This window comes from Homo sapiens, chromosome 12 (assembly GCF_000001405.40).
Source record: "Homo sapiens chromosome 12, GRCh38.p14 Primary Assembly".
Taxonomy (NCBI): Eukaryota; Metazoa; Chordata; class Mammalia; order Primates; family Hominidae; genus Homo; species Homo sapiens.
This window is the reverse complement of record NC_000012.12, coordinates 1,726,619-1,746,130: the sequence shown is the minus strand read 5'-3', so window position 1 is coordinate 1,746,130 and position 19,512 is coordinate 1,726,619. Positions and strand designations below refer to the sequence as shown.

The following is a 19,512-nucleotide window of genomic DNA, read 5'->3' as shown; positions in this document are numbered from 1 at the left end:
CCTTTCACTTTCAACCTATACATGTCCTTAGACCTAAAATAGATCATATTTTTTAGATCATGTCATTTTTTTTTTAATCCATCAGGAAGATGAGGAAGGAAACTGGGTAAGTGAAAACAAGCATAGGAAGAAGACTTATTTTTATTTTACATTCTTTAGTAACTTCTGAATTTTGGACTACAGGTACAAGGGATCTTCAAAAAGTTCGTGTAACATATGTTTTATGAAAACACTATGCATGAATTTCAATAAAATTTTGCACCAAAATAAGCTGGTACTAACTTGTTATAACACATCTGAACAAGATGTAGTTTGAGGCACTAAGAAGGATAAGACATTGGTTTGAAAAGCACCCTAACAGAGCAACATGAATTCTGCTAAAATTGAAGCAAGAACAAAACATCAAATTTATGGTGAAGTTTGAGTGGAAGAATGGTAAAATCACTGGTGCTTTACGAAAACTTTATAGAAACAATGCCCCTAAGAAATCAGCAGTTTATAAATAGGATAATTCATTGTAAGAAGGGACAAGATGATATTGAAGATGAAGCCTGCAGTAGCAGACTATCAACATAAATTTTTTAGGAAAAAATTCATCCCGTTTGTAACCTAAATGTAGAGATCCAATGATTAACAGCACAAACAACAGCCAATACCATAGACATATAAATTCATTCAGCGTATACAAATCTAACAAAAAAATTTAAGTTGAACAAACTTTCTGCTTGATGGGTACTAAAACCATTGTGCTCAGATCGGCCACAGACAAAAGCAGTGCCTTCAATGCAAATTTTAAACAAGTGGCAACAAGAGCATGTGGAATTTCTTTGAAAAATTTTAACAGGAGATGAAACATGACTTTACCAGTGTGATCCTGAAGACAAAGAAAAAAACAAAGCAATGGGTACCAAGAGATGAAAGTGATCCAGTTAGAGCAAAAGCAAACCCATCAAGAGCGAAGGTCATGACAAAAGCTTTTTGGAATGCTCAAGGAATCTTGTTGACTTTCACCACCACAAGGTTCCTGCTCATTCCTCTCAAATGGGCAGTTTTGCTAGGGTTTCAATGGGAAATCACTGGGCATCCACCAAACAGTGCTGATTGGCTCCTTCTGACTTCTTTTTGTTTCCGAACCTTAAAAAAAAATTTAAAGGGCACCCATTTTTCTTTAATTAATAATGCAAAAAAAAGACTGCACATACTGATATGGTTACAGGACTTCTTTAGGAGTGGACTAAATGGCTAGCATTATTGCTTACAAAATTTTCTTGAACTCGATAGAGCTTATATTGAGAATAAAGTTTATATTTTGTATTTTTATCTTTTAATTCCATTTTTCCACAAACTTTTTGAGGTCCCCTCATATCTATCCAAAGATAAATATAAAAGGATTTTTTAATTGTAAGGTTAGCAAATAATGAAAATAGTTCCGAACATTAAAATAGTGCTTTTATTACCAGAAAGTATAAGGCACCATTTAAGAATTTTCAAGTAGGTCAGATGTGGTGGCTCACACCTGTAATCCCAGCACTTTGGGAGGCCAAGGCAGGTGGATCACTTGAGGTCAGGAGTTCAAGATCAGCCTGGTCAACATGGTGAAACCCCATCTCTACAAAAAAATACAAAAATTAGCCGGTCATGGCGGTACGCGCCTATAGTTCCAACTACTAACCAGCCAGGGTGACAGAGCCAAAGACTCTGTCTCAGAAAACAACAACAACAAAAAAAGCTGGACGTGGTGGCTCACACCTGCAATCCCAGCACTTTGGGAGGCCGAGACGGGCAGATCACAATGTCAGGAGATCAAGACCATTCTGGCTAACGTGGTGAAACCCTGTCTCTACTAAAAATACAAAAAATCAGCCAGGTGTGGTGGCGGCTGCCTGTAGTCCCAGCTACTCGGGAGGCTGACAGGAGAATGGCATGAACCTGGGAGGCAGAGCTTGCAGTGAGCTAAGATCGTACCACTGCACTCCAGCCTGGGCGACACAGCAAGACTCCGTCTCAAAAAAAAAAATACAGAAAAAAAAAAGACTTTTCAAGCATTTTATCCCATATAAAACATAACAGCAAAATAAACATTCCTTTCTGCATTCAGATAAGGACCATCCTATAACCTCTATCCAACATAAATTTGAGCTAAACATGATCAGTGGTCTCATCCGTTGGGTGGCACAGGCATACACAATGACACAGTCTGGAAAAAATATAAGGCTGATCATAAAGTGACAATTCCCAGAGTCCTGTTTTTTAATGTAATAAAAAAGTTAAATTATTTTATCTCCTTTTTCTTGTATATAACATAGAAAAGCCTATTCATCAAATGCAAGACTCTTAAGCCAGATCTTTAATATGCAGATAGAAATCAACAATAAGTGATTAATTTTTCAACAGTTCAAGATAACTCATATTAATAACAGTACCTGGAAATTTGAGTTGTATGGGTTTTTTTTAATTTAATATTTTTAGAGATAGGGTCTCACTCTGGAGTGCAGTGGCACAATCACAGCTCACTGTAACCTTGAATTTCTGTGCCCAAGCAATCCTCCCGCCTCAGCCTCCATCCAGAGAAGCTTAGACTACAGGCGTGTGCCCACCACACCCAGCTAATTTTTAATTTTTTGTAGCACTGGAGTCTCACTCTGTTGCCCAGGCTGGTTTTGAACTACTGGCCTCAAGTGATCCTCCCATCTCAGCCTCCCAAAGTGCTTACAGGCATGAGCTAATGTGCCCAGTATTTTAGAGAATTTAAACTATTGCCTCCAAAGTTACTTGATGTAATTTAAGACTCATAGAATTTCTTTTTTTTTTTTTTTTTTTAGACAGCGTCTCGCTCTGTTACCCAGGCTGGAGTGCAGTGGCACAATCTTGGCTCACTGCTTTGTTTTTTTTTTTTTTTTTGGTAGAGATGGGGTTTCACCATGCTGGCCAGGCCAGTCTCAAACCCCTGACCTCAAGAGATCCTCCAGCCTTGGCCTCTCAAAATGCTGGGACTACAGGCATGAGCAACCACATCCGGCCCTCGAGACTCATAAAATTTCTTACACAAGGAAAATTTTGAATGTTTCCCCAAGAGCTATAGTTTGCAAATCCCTCTAGGACTGCTATATTCTCCCTTAAAAAGAGAGTAGCATAACTAAACCCAGCAACTCCCAACTCTTCACAAACAAAAAAATAAAATCGAAAAGTAAAAATATTTGATCCTGAAGTAAAGAAGTAAATCCTGAATCCTAAAGTAAAAGAAGGCTGCTATCACACTTGCCTTGCTTTTGTATTCAGTCAGCCCTCTATATCAATGGGGTTCTGCATCTGTGGATTCAACCAACAACAGATGGAAATTATCCAGATTTTTAAAATTACATCTATTCTGAACATGTAGACTTTTTTCCCTAAACAATACAGTATAGTAACTATTTACAGGGCATTTACATTGTATTTGGTACTACAAGTAATCTAGACATGATTTACAATATACAGGAAGATGTGCTTAGGTTATATGCAAACGCTATGCCATTCTCTATCAGGAACTTGAGCATCCACAGATTTTGGTATCCATGGGAGGTCCTGGAACCAATCCCCCATGGATACCAAAGGATGACTGTATTCTACTCAGAACTTAGAATTACTGTGCATCTCTGAATGCTCTCGCTCTTTCAAAATTAGCCATCTAGTGGTTACCTGCCTTATGGATGGGGAATAAGGCTCAGAGGTAGATTTCTAAACATAGAAAAAAGTGGCAGCTGGGCACAGTGGCTCACGCCTGTAATCCCAGCACTTTGGGAGGCCCAGGTGGGCAGATGGCTTGAGCCCAGGAGTTCAAGACCAGCCTGGGCAACACGGCAAGACTCCGTCTCTACAAAAAATGCAAAAATAAGCCAGGCGTGGTGGTGTGCACCTGCAGTCCCAACTACTCAGGACACTGAGGTGGGAGGATCGCTTGAGCTTAAGAGTTCAAAGCTGCAAGCAGCTGTGATCGCACCACTGCACTTCAGCCTGCAGATAGCAAGATGCTATCTTAAAAAAAGAGAGAGAGAAAAGTGACAAAAAACAGACCCTGGCTCTCACAATTCTCTGACTCCTCATTGGGAGTTCAACAATCATAAGATTTTGTCTTTTTTTTTTTTTAACTTTTCAGTCAAGTCCAGCCTAGAGGTAATAAAATTCTTTTTGAAAGAGATATAGTTCAAATTTTCAAGAAGACACTCTTAACCTATTCCATTCATCTTTAGCTAACATTATTTTATGTAACATATCTACTTTCACAAAGTCTGGTCCATTTTTTAAAATGATTTACCTAAGAAAAAAGAACTCTAGCACTAAAGAAAATCACTTAATTGCATGCATAGTCATTCCATCAAACCTGACATTTGTTATTTTACAATACTCTCCAGGGCTTTTTCATTCCAAACAGGTTATGTGTCCCAAAGGCATTCTCTATGGCAAACTATGAATTCCCCATTGGTTGTCTAGTAGTTATAAGCCTGTAAGTTGAACATAATTAAACCATAGCATTGTTTACCTGCCTTCTGTTTTCCTATTTAATGATTGAAGGCTTTTTTCCTTTCCAAATTATATTCTGTAACTTGCTGCTGCAGCAATCATCTATCTGATTTGCTAACACTATAGGTTCACTTGCTACAGTGGACAGTATTACACAACACTATTGCCAAAGATATTCCTCCCTCTTCCTAAGCCCCCATACTTAATCCATTAGTAAATAATACATGGATTTTATCTCCCAAAATATCTCTCAAATTATTTCCCTTTCTTTTTCTCTTCCCTGCCATGATCTTAGCTAAACCACCAATATCTCTGACCTACAATACTTTGATAATCCCCTAACAGGCCTCCCTATCCTCTACTCTCATACCTGCAGTTTCCTCTCTTTATTTAGCAGCCAAAGTGCTCTTTCGAACAGAAAAATCATGTCACTCCCCTGCTAAAATCCCTCCAGATTTTATTCCTTGTGCAAAAGGAAGCCAAATCTTTACCATAATTCCCACAAGGCCCTTAATGATTTTGCCCCACCAACCTCTCCAACCTCAACTTATAAAGCTCCCTAATTGACTCACTATTCTTTTGAACCTTTTCCATACCAATCTTGATCAACATCAGGCCCTAGAAACATGCCTGGGAACTTAACTAGCTAGCTATCCCTTACCATTTAAGCTCCCAGGTAAAAGGTCACCTTTTCAGGAAGCCCCTACCTGACGACCCGTCACACTAATCATTCTAACACTTGACACAGTTTAATTTCCTTCACAGTCCTTATCACTCTCTCAAATATTTATTTTCCTATTAATTATCTGTCTTTCTCAACTAAACCACCAGCCTCTTAAGTGTCAAATCTTGTTTGTCTCGTTCACCATATGTATCTAAAACAGGATCTGTCACATAGTACACACACATACATACGTAAAACAGGATCTGTCACACAGTACACACCCTCAAGATCTGCTTAATGTGTAAACAAATGAAGTTTCTATCAGAAATTCCCTGGCGGTGTGCACTGATTGTAGCCTCTCAAAATTCATATGTTAAGTCCTAACCCCCAGTACTTTACAATGAGACTGTATTTGGAAATAGAGGCTTTAGAGAGGTAATCAAGGTTAAATGAAGTTACAAGGTGGGGGGGCCTAATCCACTATGACTGATGTCCTTGTAAGAAGAGACACCAGGGAGGAATACATGCCCAGAGGAAAGGCCCTGTGAGGACAGAGAGAAGGCAACAATTGCAAGCCAAGGAGAGGGGTGATAGGAGAAACCAAACCTGCTGACATGTTGATCTTGAAACTCTAGCCTCCAGAACTGTGAGAAAATACATTTCTGTCATTTAAGCCACCCAGTCTGCAGTACTTTATGGCAGGCCTAGCAAATCAATACACTTGGCTTTCAATAGAATAGCACATCACTTTAGCATTTTTCAGCAGAAATAACTGAAAAGTTACATCTAAAAGTTTACCATTCAAGGTAGGCATCATCATAATCCTTTATACAGCCACTTAAAATTTAACTTCTTTTTTTTTTTGAGATGGAGCCTCGCTCTTGTCGCCCAGGCTGGAGTACAACGATGCAATCTCAGTTCACTGCAACCTCTGCCTCCCGGGTTCAAGCAATTCTCCTGCCTCAGCCTTCTGAGTAGCTAGGATTACAGGCATGTGCCACCACGCCCGGTTAATTTTTTGTATTTTTAGTAGAGACGGGGTTTCACCATGTTGGCCAGGCTGGTCTCGAACTCCTGACCACAGGTGATCTACCCACCTCAGCCTCCCAAAGTGCTGGGATTACTGGCGTGAGCCACTGCGCCCAGCTAATTTAACTTTTAAACATATAATAAGGAATTTAAGGAAACTGCATGTGTGATTGAGGTCATAAAAAGTCAGTGCTCATAACACTCTAAAGAAGGCTCAACAAACTTTTTCTATAATAAAAGGCCAGATTATAAATATTTTAGGTTTCGTGGGCCACAAAAGGTCTCTCCTACAAAAAACTCAACTCAGCTAGTGCAGCACAAAAGTAGTCAGACAATATGTAAATGAATTAATGTGGCTGTGTTCCAATAAAACTTTATTAACACTGAGATTTCCATTTCATATAATTTTCATTCATCTATCACAAAACATTATTTTGTTTAAACTATTTTTAAATGTAAACACCAATCTTTGCTCATGAGCCATACAAAAACAGGTAGATACCCAGGGGCTAGCTATAGTTTGCTAACCCTGCCCTAAGGCAATAATTTTACTTTCAGAGAGGGAAATCTCAAGGCTTCTCCACATAGCTACAATTTACACAGCATCCCACTGGCTAGACTAGAAGCATATGCACCTACCTGTGTAACTACTACTATAATGACCTTGACCCATTGTTTCTTATTTACTTGTGTCTCCCATTAGACTACACGCAAAGACATAAAGGCAGAGAGCAGTACCTTCATCATTTTTTATGTTCAGAGCTAAGTAATGTTCCTGATGCACAGTAAATTTTCAACTGTCTTCTGAAAGAATTCATGTTTTACTGTTCTTTGACTTAAAATTCCTCTTCCAACTGTACTACTGCCCCTCTAAAATAAAATTTTTTGAAGTTTTTTTAAAGTTATTTTCCCAAAAAATTTTATGGCAGCATAAAATTATCACAAAAGAAATTTTGCTGAATATAATGACTCACACAAGAAATGTTATTCTTTGAAAACAAATAATCTCCCCAAATACGTTTAACAGACTTTTTGTTGTTATTAATGCTCCTGTTAATTCTCATTTTCGAGAAAAATATTCCTTTGTTCTTCAAAGGAAATATAAATCAATCTAAAAATTCAGTCCCAGTCACAACAGAGAAAAATATCCAAAATGGTTTCTTCAACCAACACAAAAAATCTGTCTCTTAAGCATACTCACTCCTTTAATAAATATGTGTGAGGCTGACAAGATAGTTTTGAGTGGAAAAGTTCATCCACCTCCAAAAAGTGAAAGAAGGTCAAAGGGGGACCAGCATAAACCACTAGCAATTCAAGATAAGATGGTCTCTGCTGGCTGGAGAATTCATTTAATTACCTTTATTTTATTATTTTAGGCTCTGGAATTCTGCCAAACTCTCTTTAAAGAAAAAAATAGGAAGAAGGAGAAACTCCTTGGGGAAGGAAAAAAATGAATGTTTTTCTCTAAAATGAGAAATTACAGGGCTTGTGCTTTTCTGGCTCAATACAGAGTTAAATTTACAAACAAAACACAGAAACTACTAAAAATTTTTTTTGAGACAAGGTCTCACTCTGTCACCCAAGCTGGGCACAGTAGTGCAATCACAGCTCATACTGCAGCCTCAATTTCCCAGATTCAAGTGATCCTCCCACCTCAGTTTCCCGGGTAGCTGGGACCACAGGCACATACCACCATGCCTGGTTAACTTTTTTTTTTTTTTTTTTTTTGTAGAGACAGGGTTTCTTCATGTTGCCCAGGCCGGTCTCAAACTCCTGGGCTCAAGCAATCCATCCATCTCAGCCTCCCAAAGTACTGGGACTACAGGCAAGAGCTACCACACCCAGCCATAAACTACTAAAACTAATAAGGTAGGAGTACAAGAGAGTAACACATTAAAATCAAATCAAGTAGTGGTAATGCTGTGACATTTATTCCCACCCCTGCCTTAGTATGTAGAAGAGAAAAGAACCAATTATCAAAAAAAGGGACCTTCATACATGGCAACTGTAATAAGTAATGGACAAAATCTTAAATTGGAAGCATGAATATGCAAGGAACAGGAGTGATGCTGTAAAGGGTCAGTCTGGGCCAGGCGCAGTGGCTCCGCCTGTAATCCTAGCACTTTGGGAAGCCAAGATGGGCAGATCACTTGAGGTCAGGAGTTCAAGACCAGCCTGGCCAACATGGTGAAACCCCATCTCTACTAAAAATACAAAAAATTACCCAAGCGTGAGGCTGGGGCACAAGAATTGCTCGAACCCAGGAGGTAGAGGTCACAGTGAGCCAAGATCACACCACGGCACTCCAGCCTGGGTGACAGAGTGAGACTCTGTCTCCAAAAAATATATAAACAGTCAGTCTGTGTGACAACTACAGGAAGATTAGCAAACAACTCACTGGTGTACTTCTTTTCCAAAATTTCATTAAGGGTTTTTCTATCTGGTAAACTTGGAAATGATTATAAATAACATGAAGACAACAAACTACCAATTCTAGAGGGAAATGACTTAATTTGAAACACACTCAGCAGAAAACCTAAACCCTGATAATTAACATGTATTTTCCACATGACAATACTGTAAGAAAAAAAACAACAACAAAAAACCCCACAAATAACTTCAGTCTTCTCTCAAAACAAAACAACTTCAACTATAAAAGGTACATTGAGATGTACATAAACTCTGTATCTGAGGAACAAGTATTTGGGCACTCTGCAAATATATACAGGCTACAATTTCAAACAGCAATAATTATATATTCCTAACATAAATATATGCTGTCAGGTGCCCATTATCTCATTTATTCTTCATAACAACCTGAAGGATTCAACACCTCATTTCTGCAACTGAAGAATTCAAGGCTCACAGTTTGTGCAGGTTGCTCAGTCTCATGGCTGGTAAGTGGAAGAAAAGTTCAAAATCGGGCCCTTCTGGCTTTTCACTCAGCCATAATGCCTGGTGGACATGAAAACAGGCCCATTGTGTAGACACTAATTCTGACCAAATTTTCTGAATCAAAAACAAACTATATGGAAACTGAACAACCTCCTCCTGAATGACTACTGGGTACATAACGAAATGAAGGCAGAAATAAAGATGTTTTTTGAAACCAATGAGAACAAAGACACAACATACCAGATTCTCTGGGACACATTCAAGGCAGTGTGTAGAGGGAAATTTATAGCACTAAATGCCCACAAGAGAAAGCAGGAAAGATCTAAAATCGACACCCTAACATCACAATTAAAAGAACTAGAGAAGCAAGAGCAAACACATTCAAAAGCTAGCAGAAAACAAGAAATAACTAAGATCAGAGCAGAACTGAAGGGGATAGAGACACAAAAAAACCCTTCAAAAAATTAATGAATCCAGGAGCTGGTTTTCTGAAAAGATCAACAAAATTGATAGACCACTAGCAAGACTAATAAAGAAGAAAAGAGAGAAGAATCAAATAGACACAATAAAAAATGATACAGGGGATTGTGATACAGGGGTGGTGATACCACCAATCCCACAGAAATACAAAGTACCATCAGAGAATACTATAAACACCTCTACGCAAATAAATTAGAAAATCTAGGAGAAATGGATAAATTCCTCGACACATACACCCTCCCAAGACTAAACCAGGAAGAAGTTGAATCTCTGAATAAACCAATAACAGGCTCTGAAATTGAGGCAATAATTAATAGCTTACCAACCAAAAAAAGTCCAGGACCAGATGGATTCACAGCCGAATTCTACCAGAGGTACAAGGAGGAGCTGGTACCATTCCTTCTGAAACTATTCCAATCAATAGAAAAAGAGGGAATCCTCCCTAACTCATTTTATGAGGCCAGCATCATCCTGATACCAAAGCCTGGCAGAGACAAAACAAAAAAGAGAATTTTAGACCAATATCCCTGATGAACATCGATGCAAAGATCCTCAATAAAATACTGGCAAACCGAATCCAGCAGCACATCAAAAAGCTTATCCACCATGATCAAGTGGGCTTCATCCCTGGGATGCAAGGCTGGTTCAACATACGCAAATCAATAAACGTAATCCAGCATACAAACAGAACCAACAACAAAAACCATATGATTATCTCAATAGATGCAGAAAAGGCCTTCGACAAAATTCAACAATGCTTCATGCTAAAACTCTCAATAAATTAGGTATTGATGGGACGTATGTCAAAATAATAAGAGCTATTTATGACAAACCCACAGCCAATATCATACTGAATGGGCAAAAACTGGAAGCATTGCCTTTGAAAACTGGCATAAGACAGGGATGCCCTCTCTCACCACTCCTATTCAACATAGTGTTGGAAGTTCTGGCCAGGGCAATTAGGCAGGAGAAGGAAATAAAGGGTATTCAATTAGGAAAAGAAGAAGTCAAACTGTCCCTGTTTGCAGATGACATGATTGTATATCTAGAAAACCCCATTGTCTCAGCCCAAAATCTCCTTAAGCTGATAGGCAACTTCAGCAAAGTCTCAGGATACAAAATCAACGTGCAAAAATCACAAGCATTCTTATAAACCAATAACAGACAAACAGAGAGCCAAATCATGAGTGAACTCCCATTCACAATTGCTTCAAAGAGAATAAAATACCTAGGAATCCAACTTACAAGGGACGTGAAGGACCTCTTCAAGGAGAACTACAAACCGCTGCTCAATGAAGTAAAAGAGGACACAAACAAATGGAAGAACATTCCATGCTCATGGGTAGGAAGAATCAGTATCGTGAAAATGGCCGTACTGCCCAAGGTAATTTATAGATTCAATGCCATCCCCATCAAGCTACCAATGACTTTCTTCACAGAATTCGAAAAAACTACTTTAAAGTTCATATGGAAGCAAAAAAGAGCCCACATTGCCAAGTCAATCCTAAGCCAAAAGAACAAAGCTGGAGGCATCACGCTACCTGACTTCAAACTGTACTACAAGGCTACAGTAACCAAAACAGCATGGTACTGGTACCAAAACAGAGATATAGACCAGAACAGAGCCCTCAGAAATAGTGCCGCATATCTACAACTATCTGATCTTTGACAAACCTGACAAAAACAAGAAATGGGGAAAGGATTCCCTATGTAATAAATGGTGCTGGGAAAACTGGCTAGCCATATGTAGAAAGCTGAAACTGGATCCCTTCCTTACACCTTATACAAAAATTAATTCAAGATGGATTAAAGACTTAAATGTTACACCTAAAAACCTAAAAACCCTAGAAGAAAACCTAGGTAATACCATTCAGGACATAGGCATGGGCAAGGACTTCATGTCTAAAACACCAAAAGCAATGGCCAAAATTGACAAATGGGATCTAATTAAACTAAAGAGCTTCTGCACAGCAAAAGAAACTACCATCAGAGTGAACAGGCAACCTACAGAATGAGAGAAAACTTTTGCAATCTACTCATCTGACAAAGGGCTAATATCCAGAATCTACAATGAACTCAAACAAATTTACAAGAAAAAAACAAACGACCCCATCAAAAAGTGGGCAAAGGATATGAACAGACACTTCTCAAAAGAAGACATTTATGCAGCCAAAAGACACATGAAAAAATGCTCATCATCACTGGCCATCAGAGAAATGCAAATCAAAACCACAATGAGATACCATCTCACACCAGTTAGAATGGCAATCATTAAAAAGTCAGGAAACAACAGGTACTGGAGAGAATGTGGAGAAATAGGAACACTTTTACACTGTTGGGGGGACTGTAAACTAGTTCAACCATTGTGGAAGTCAGTGTGGCGATTCCTCAAGGATCTAGAACTAGAAATACCATTTGACCCAGCCATCCCATTACTGGGTATATACCCAAAGGATTAGAGAACATGCTGCTATAAAGACACACGCAAACGTATGTTTATTGCGGCACTCTATTCATAATAGCAAAGACTTGGAACCAACCCAAATGTCCAACAATGACAGACTGAATTAAGAAAATGTGGCACATATACACCATGGAATACTATGCAGCCATAAAAAAGGATGTGTTCATGTCCTTTGTAGGGACATGGATGAAGCTGGAAATCATCATTCTCAGCAAACTATCGCCAAGGACAAAAAACCAAACACCACATGTTCTCACTCATAGGTGGGAATTGAACAATGAGAACACATGGACACAGGAAGGGGAACATCACACACCAGGGCCTGTTGTGGGGTTGAGGGAGGGGGGAGGGATAGCATTAAGAGATATACCTAACGTTAAATGATTAGTTAATAGATGCAGCACACCAACATGGCACATGTACACATATGTAACAAACCTGCATGTTGTGCACATGTACCCTAAAACTTAGAATAAAAAATAAATAAATAAATAAGAACACATGGTTTAACTAGAAATATATTTTCCAAACCTGTAAATGTATGTATTCAAAAGATACCTTTTAAAAATGGAATTTAATGACTCACAAAAAAGATAGAAGAAACTCTGATCCAATAATTGTACTGATAATTAAGAAAAATAAAGAATGCAGGTCTCAAGAGTTTAACTGCTCTCACGGTTATATCCAGGAGCATGCTGTCTCAAGGGAAGCCTCAGTTTCTCCACCTATATATAAGGGAGCATCTGTGAATGATAACCTTAATTAACAACACTAAATATATATTTAGATTGTACCATAGTAAGATAAAGTCAAGCCCGTGTTAGCTACCTGTACCTAAGAACCTCAATAAACTATTACATAAAGTTCTGAAGTAATCAAGAAGATTCAGATAGCAAACAGTGATTTTTGAACAAAACCAACAGTAGGGAAGCTTACTACCACTTCAAAGAACCAGTGAAAAGTTCTTTGTTTTTTTCTAAGTAAAATTACACAGATAACTGGTGCTACTCTTGTCTAGAAAGCCACAAAATAAACTGCAGCAAACCTCCACTGTAAATCTAACAAGGTTTCCCATTGTGAAACTTTACTGCATATCAAGAATTATCTAAAATGGCCTTGATCCCAATAATTGTACTCTTTACTGTTTCTCCTTGAATTTTATCCTAAAGCAATACAAAAGGGAAAAACTACACACACAAAAGTATTTATTAAGGCAGGGGAAAATGGAAGCAATTAATGAGTAACAGAAAAATAAAGTACATAATAAATTCATTTTCTCATTTTAATATTAGGGAGCATTCAAAAACAGCATGAAGATTGTTTATGTTATCTTAAAACATAAAACAAAATTATTACAACTAGATAAAACTAAGTTTTACAACTATATAAAAGTGTATGCATAAATACAAAAGTTAGAAAGGCATACAATTTACCCAAATGAGTTAAAAACCTATGTGCACACAAAAACTTGCATACAAGTGTTTATAGTAGCTTTATTCATAACTGCCAAAACTGGGAAGTAACCAAGATAGTCTTTAATAGGTCAATGAATAAACAAACTGTGGTACACATCCATACAACAGTGTACTATTCAGCAATAAAAAGAAATGAGCTATGAAGCCATGAAAAGCCATGGAGAACCTTAAGTGTATATTGCCAATGGAAAGAAATCAATCTGAAAAGATTACATATTATATGACTCCAATTATATGACATTTTGGAAAAGACAAAACTAAGGAGACAGTAAAAAGATCAGTGGTTGGCAGGGATTTAGGGATGAGTAGATGAAACACTGAGTATTTAGGGCAGTGAAACTATTCTGTGATAACTGTAATAGTGGATACCTTTCATACATGTGTCAAAACCCACAGAATGTACAACACACAGAGTGAACCCTAATGCAAAACTATGCAATTTAATTAAAAATGTATTAACATCAGTTCATAAACTGTAACAAATGTACCACACTAATGCAAGATGTTAGTAACGGGAAACTGGTGGTACCAAGCAGCGGGTAGATATATGGGAACTCTAGTTTTCACTCAATTTTTCTATAACATAAAAATGCTCAAAAAAAGTCTAAGCTTTTTTTTTTTTTAAATAAACTTGGTGTTTTTTGTTTTTGTTTTTGTTTTCAGACCAAGTCTCACTCTATCATGCAGGCTAGAGTGCAGCTGCACGATCTCGGCTCACTGCAACCTCTGCCCCGCGGGTTCCCGCGATTCTCCTGCCTCAGCCTCTCAAGTAGCTGGGATTACAAGCACACGCCAGCCACCACGCCCGGCTAATTTTTGTATTTTTAGTAAAGACAGGGTTTCACCATGTTGGCCAGGCTGGTCTCAAACTCCTGACCTCAGGTGATCTGCCCAGCTCGGCCTCCTAAAGGGCTGGGATTACAGGGATGAGCCACCGAACCCGGCCAAAAGGAATAAAATTTTGATATATGCTATAACATGTACGCTATGTGAAATAAACCAGACACAAAAAGACAAATGCTATATGATTCCATTTATATGATACTTAGAACAGGCAAACTGATAGCGTCAGAAAGTGTAATAGAACTTACCAGGAACTGGGAGAAGAGAACAATGAGGAGTTATTGTATAATGCGCATAGTTTCTGATTGGGATCATAAAGTAGTTCTGGAACTAGGTAGTGTGATGATTGTACAACATTGTGAATATACCTAATGCCACTGAACTGCACCCTTTAAAATGGTTAATATAGTAAATTTTATGTTACGTGTATTTTCCCACAATTTAAAAAAAGGAATCTGGCCCAGCACAGTGGCTCCCAGAACTTTGGGAGGCTGAAGCGGGAGAAAGTTCGAGACCAGCCTAGACAACATAATAAGATGCCGCCTCTACAAAACATCAGCCACGCAGTGTCACATGCCTGTAGTCCCAGCTACTTGGGAGAGTGAGGGAGGAGGATCGCTTGAGCCCAGGAGTTTGAGGCTTCAGTAAGCCATGATCGCATCACTGCACTCCAGCCTGGGCAACATTAAGACCCTGTCTCTAAACAAACAAATAAAATAAGGAATCTGAAATATTAAAATGTATGTTTTATTGTTAGCTTTGTCACAGTATAATGCCCTTCACATATATGCAGTATAAACAAGTTTTTAATAATAAACATAATTTTCTTGTTGTCACAACAGCCCAGAAACTTATAATCAACCTGCATTACATATAAGAGAGCTGATAACTTAAACTTTTACATAATCAGCCTACAGTTTCAACTTGCTTCTCTTCCAAACTTTTAACTAAGGAGAAATAACTTTTTAAAAAGTTATGATTTGCTCTCCCTTCCATTCTGTGCTTGCTTCTCTTAGTAGAGGTGCTAATGAGCCCAACTGATGCTAAAGATTTCATCTAAAAGCCAAGATAACAAAATGTTAGAGAACAATATAGAGAGCTGGTTTCTACTAAAGTAGAATTGATTGAACAAGTGTTGTTTGGTTTTTTTTGTTTTTTTTTTTTGAGACAGAGTCTTGCTCTGTCACCCAGGCTGGAGTGCAGTAGCACTATCTCGGCTCACTGCAAGCTCCGCCTCCTGGGTTCACACCATTCTCCTGCCTCAGCTTCCCGTGTAGCTGGGACTACAGGCGCCCGCCACCGCGCCCAGCTAATTTTTTGTATTTTTAGTAGAGACGAGGTTTCACCGTGTTAGTCAGGATGGTCTCGATCTCCTGACCTCATGATCCACTCGCCTTGGCCTCCCAAAGTGCTGAGATTACAGGTGTGAGCCACCGCGCCCGGCCTGAACAACTGTTTCAAATAACGTATCTCCTAAGATTCTGAGAACACTAAGAGAAAAAAACGCTTACCAATCACAACTTTTCCCCCTAAGTTTTTGTTTAAAAAAAAAAAAAAACTTTAATACCCCTAATAGTGATTATAATTATGTGAGGTCCTAAGGGGTATATCTAATTATCTCTTGAGATGCCTAAGAATTCCCCCAGCTAACCAAATTAGCTTGAAATGTAAATGAGAATCACATCTCATGTTCAGGAGTGACAACATAATGTAATATTGTTGTAATACAGTCACTTAAATGATATATTAACACTTTTCCCTCACCTTTTTTTGTTGTGTGTTCCCTTCCGGTATGCCTTCGTTCTTGGCTAAGGATCATGAAATAATTAAACAGTACCACTAAATAGGGTGCACTCTTATGCTGCAAGTTCATTCATTCATTAATTTGTTCAAGCAACAAAATTTACTATGTGCCAAGTTTTGTGCTTTTCCCTGCTTTCTTACGGCCCAGTATTACAAAATAAGAACTGATTACATAAATGACATTTCTCTAAGAAATAAACAAAAGAGATAGAAAGTAAAGCAAAATACAGGAGATTAAGAGAGGGCTTTTGGGGAATCAAAACTAGTTCATTAACTGATGCCAACTATTAGGGATAGGATAAGAAAATAATTAGAAGTTATCAAAAAAAAACACTCAAAAAAAAAAAAAAAAAAAAAAAACAACTGGCTGAGCTCATTGGCTCATGCCTGTAATCCCAACACTTTGGGAGGTCAATGCAGGAGAATCACTTGAGCCCAGAAGTTTGAGACCAGCCTGGGCAATAGAGTAAGACCCTGTTTCTAAAAATAAAAAATAAATTTAAAAAATTGTAATAAATATATTATTTTTTAAAAGCTTTATGATAATATAAGATATATCCCTTCCTATGGCTATCATTCCTTAAAGTCCCAATGAAGCAGAAGGCTCCCTAATATTTAATAATTTTTAAACTATATTCTTTAACAATAAAAAGTTATGACAAGTCAAGAAAGTCTAGAAATATTTCCTTTCTCCAAAAACTAAGTAACACAAAAAAATACACAAAAGCCAGTATTCCAATATTTATTACAATATAGTTCTAGGAATGGAGAAATTAACCTCAGTCCTGACAGCTTCCAGTATATTCCAGGAAGAATGGGGAAGACCAACAGTCTTGATGTGCAGTATCTTTACCTATGATGATGATCTACTGACAAAACATTCAAAGTTTACAAAGGGAGATTATGGGTAGAGGGGGAAAAAAGATTTAAAGCACACAGAACCAAAGTATTAACAATGAACTGTTCTGTTGTACTCGGACAAATGACTGTCTTGTTAAAAAAAAAAAAAAAAAAAAAAACAGTCCAGAACTAGGAAAAGTATTTGGAACTGGCTTTACTTTGTTCTAAGATTTTTTAACAGTAAAAGAGAGTCAAGATGGAAGATGGAAAGACCAGACTATCAATATCTGTAAATCAGAAGAGTTCATTTTTATTCTACTAACACAGAAAATTTTCACTGGCCAAAATTCTATGAATACTGTATTGTATCATGCAGAGCTTTCTTTTATTTATTTATTTATTTTTGTTTTTTTTAAGACGGAGTCTTGCCCTGTCGCCCAGCCTAGAGTGCAATGGCGCCATCTTGGCTCACTGTAACCTCCGCCTCCCAGGTTCAAGCAATTCTCCTGCTTCAGCCTCCGGAGTAGCTGGGATTACAGGCGCCCACCACCACGCCCGGCTAATTTTTTGTATCTTTAGTAGAGACGGGGTTTCACCATATTGGCCAGGCTGGTCTGGAACTCCTGACCTCAAGTGATCCACCCACCTCGGCCTCTCAAAGTGCTGGGATCACAGGCGTGAGCCACTGCGCCCAGCCGTGTTAACATTTTTTTTTAAAGCTCTGCATGAGGCCAGGTGTGGTGTTCATGCCTGTAATCCCAGCACTTTGAAAGGCTGAGGTGGGCGGATTTGAGGTCAGGAGTTCGAGACCAGCCTGATCAACATGGTGAAACCCCATCTCTACTAAAAATACAAAAATTAGCCGGGCGTGGTGGCAGGTGCCTGCAATCCCAGCTGCTTGGGAGGCTGAGGCAGGAGAATCACTTGAAACCGGGAGGCGGAAGTTGCAGTGAGCTGAGATCGCGCCACTGCACTCCAGCCTGGGGGACAAGAGCGAGACTTCATCTCAGAAAAAAAAAAAATCTAACACAAACAGAAAACAGCTGATAGGAAGGAACAAGTAACTAGAAAGTGTTCTGAGCCCATAAATAGATGTGGAAATCCTACACAAATTTGATCAATGCATTTTCAGCAAGTAGGGGAGCTCAGCTGTCCTTCAATATCTCTGGGTAGCTGGGAAGTGACAATGAGGAAAGAAAGAAAATACACATGAGTTTTCAATTCCTAAACCTCCTCAGTTACAAAGCCCCTCCCACCAGTATCCTTTTTTTTTTTTTTTAAACAGTGTTCCTGTGTGCACGGGCATCTGCAGCCAGGCCTGTAGGGGACCGCTCCCCGAAGATGTTGGGGGTCTTTCCAGGAAAGTGGTGAGTTCAGAAGTTGCCCTGGTGCATAGGAAGAGAATACCCCAAGGGGCTACTGAAAGGGCCTTGAGTAGGTAAGAATGAGACAGAAACATTCTGGGAGGGAGGGGCAGCAGACCAAGGGTTTCGATTCTTGGAATCCACTGAGGCTCAGGTACTGCTGCTCTGGGAGAGGCAGGGGCTGTGGGTGCCAGGGAGCACATGTGGCTTCAGATTCCTCTGGAGGGTGGGGATGAGGGCAGCCATGGAAGACTTCTGGAGAGACCAGAGAGGTCTTTAATTAATAAAGAATATTTAAATAATAATTATACATGCAATGAGTGAATGATTATACATGCAATGCTTATTGGAAAAAGATACTCAAACATACTATACACCCTACTACATTTCTCTTTAAAAAGTATGTTCTCACAAACTAATTTATGCTTAGGCACACAATGACTTATTTCAAAATTTTGCTAAGGCTGTCTTCCCCTTGACAATAATAAAGTCTATTCTACAGACAATCGAATAAAAAACTGTGAAAGAACAGAAATACAGTACACACTTGACCTACAAGCTCTAAGAGCAAAGACTCAGGAATCACTAATTCTGCCTAAAAGAAATGGTGAAGGTTTTACAGGAGTTAACATTTGAGCTGGACATTAACCAATGAGTTGGAGTTTGCCAACTAAAGAGAAGGTATTCTGTGCAAAGAAAGTAGAACATGCAGGACAAAGAGTGTCAGTTCTGTTCAGAAATTAGAGCATAAAGGATAGATTCAAGATATACTCAAGAGAAGCAATATTTGAATGACTGAATGAGGGTCAATGAAATATAGAAAGATGACGACTCAGGGTTTTTCCTTAGGCAGCTGGGTACATAGCAATGCTATTTGCCGAGATGAAAAGATCATAAAGAAGGGAAGCAAATTCAAAGCGGAACAATAATGAGTTTCTTTTTGGAAATGGAGTATGAAATGACAGAAATGTTCAGTTGGCACTAGGAAACACAAATTTAAACTCAGGAAACAGAATGAACTTGAAAATAGAACTATTACTAGCATAAAAAGTGACACTAGCATAGTTACTGGCACAACAGTGGATAAAATCCTTTAAAAAAAAAAGCTGTACAAAGGAGTGAGGACAAGCAAGGATCACTGTGAAGAATTCTGAA

General features: G+C 38.5%; 1 protein-coding gene across 10 annotated transcripts in view, besides 1 other annotated feature; it reads right to left on the bottom strand.

The window, feature by feature from the left end:
* ADIPOR2 (adiponectin receptor 2) overlaps positions 1-19,512 on the bottom strand; it is a 97,605-nt gene that overhangs the window by 42,544 nt on the left and 35,549 nt on the right. The window contains exon 2 of one of the 10 annotated variants that reach the window (NM_001375364.1): positions 9,891-10,052. The exons of 7 other annotated variants lie outside the window; for them this stretch is intronic. The gene's annotated coding sequence lies outside the window, so the exon portion shown is untranslated. Of the gene's footprint in view, positions 1-1,457; positions 1,605-9,890; positions 10,053-19,512 lie in introns of those variants that run through there. 2 more of the 10 variants (XM_047429545.1, XM_047429546.1) reach the window with 2 other exon arrangements.
* Positions 617-1,210: an enhancer, noted in NCBI's record as "OCT4-NANOG hESC enhancer chr12:1854087-1854680 (GRCh37/hg19 assembly coordinates)". NCBI's record gives its function as "activates a minimal SCP1, AML or CMV promoter by ChIP-STARR-seq in naive H9 embryonic stem cells {active_cell/tissue: H9 hESC(naive)}" and the evidence as "EXISTENCE:reporter gene assay evidence [ECO:0000049][PMID:30033119]".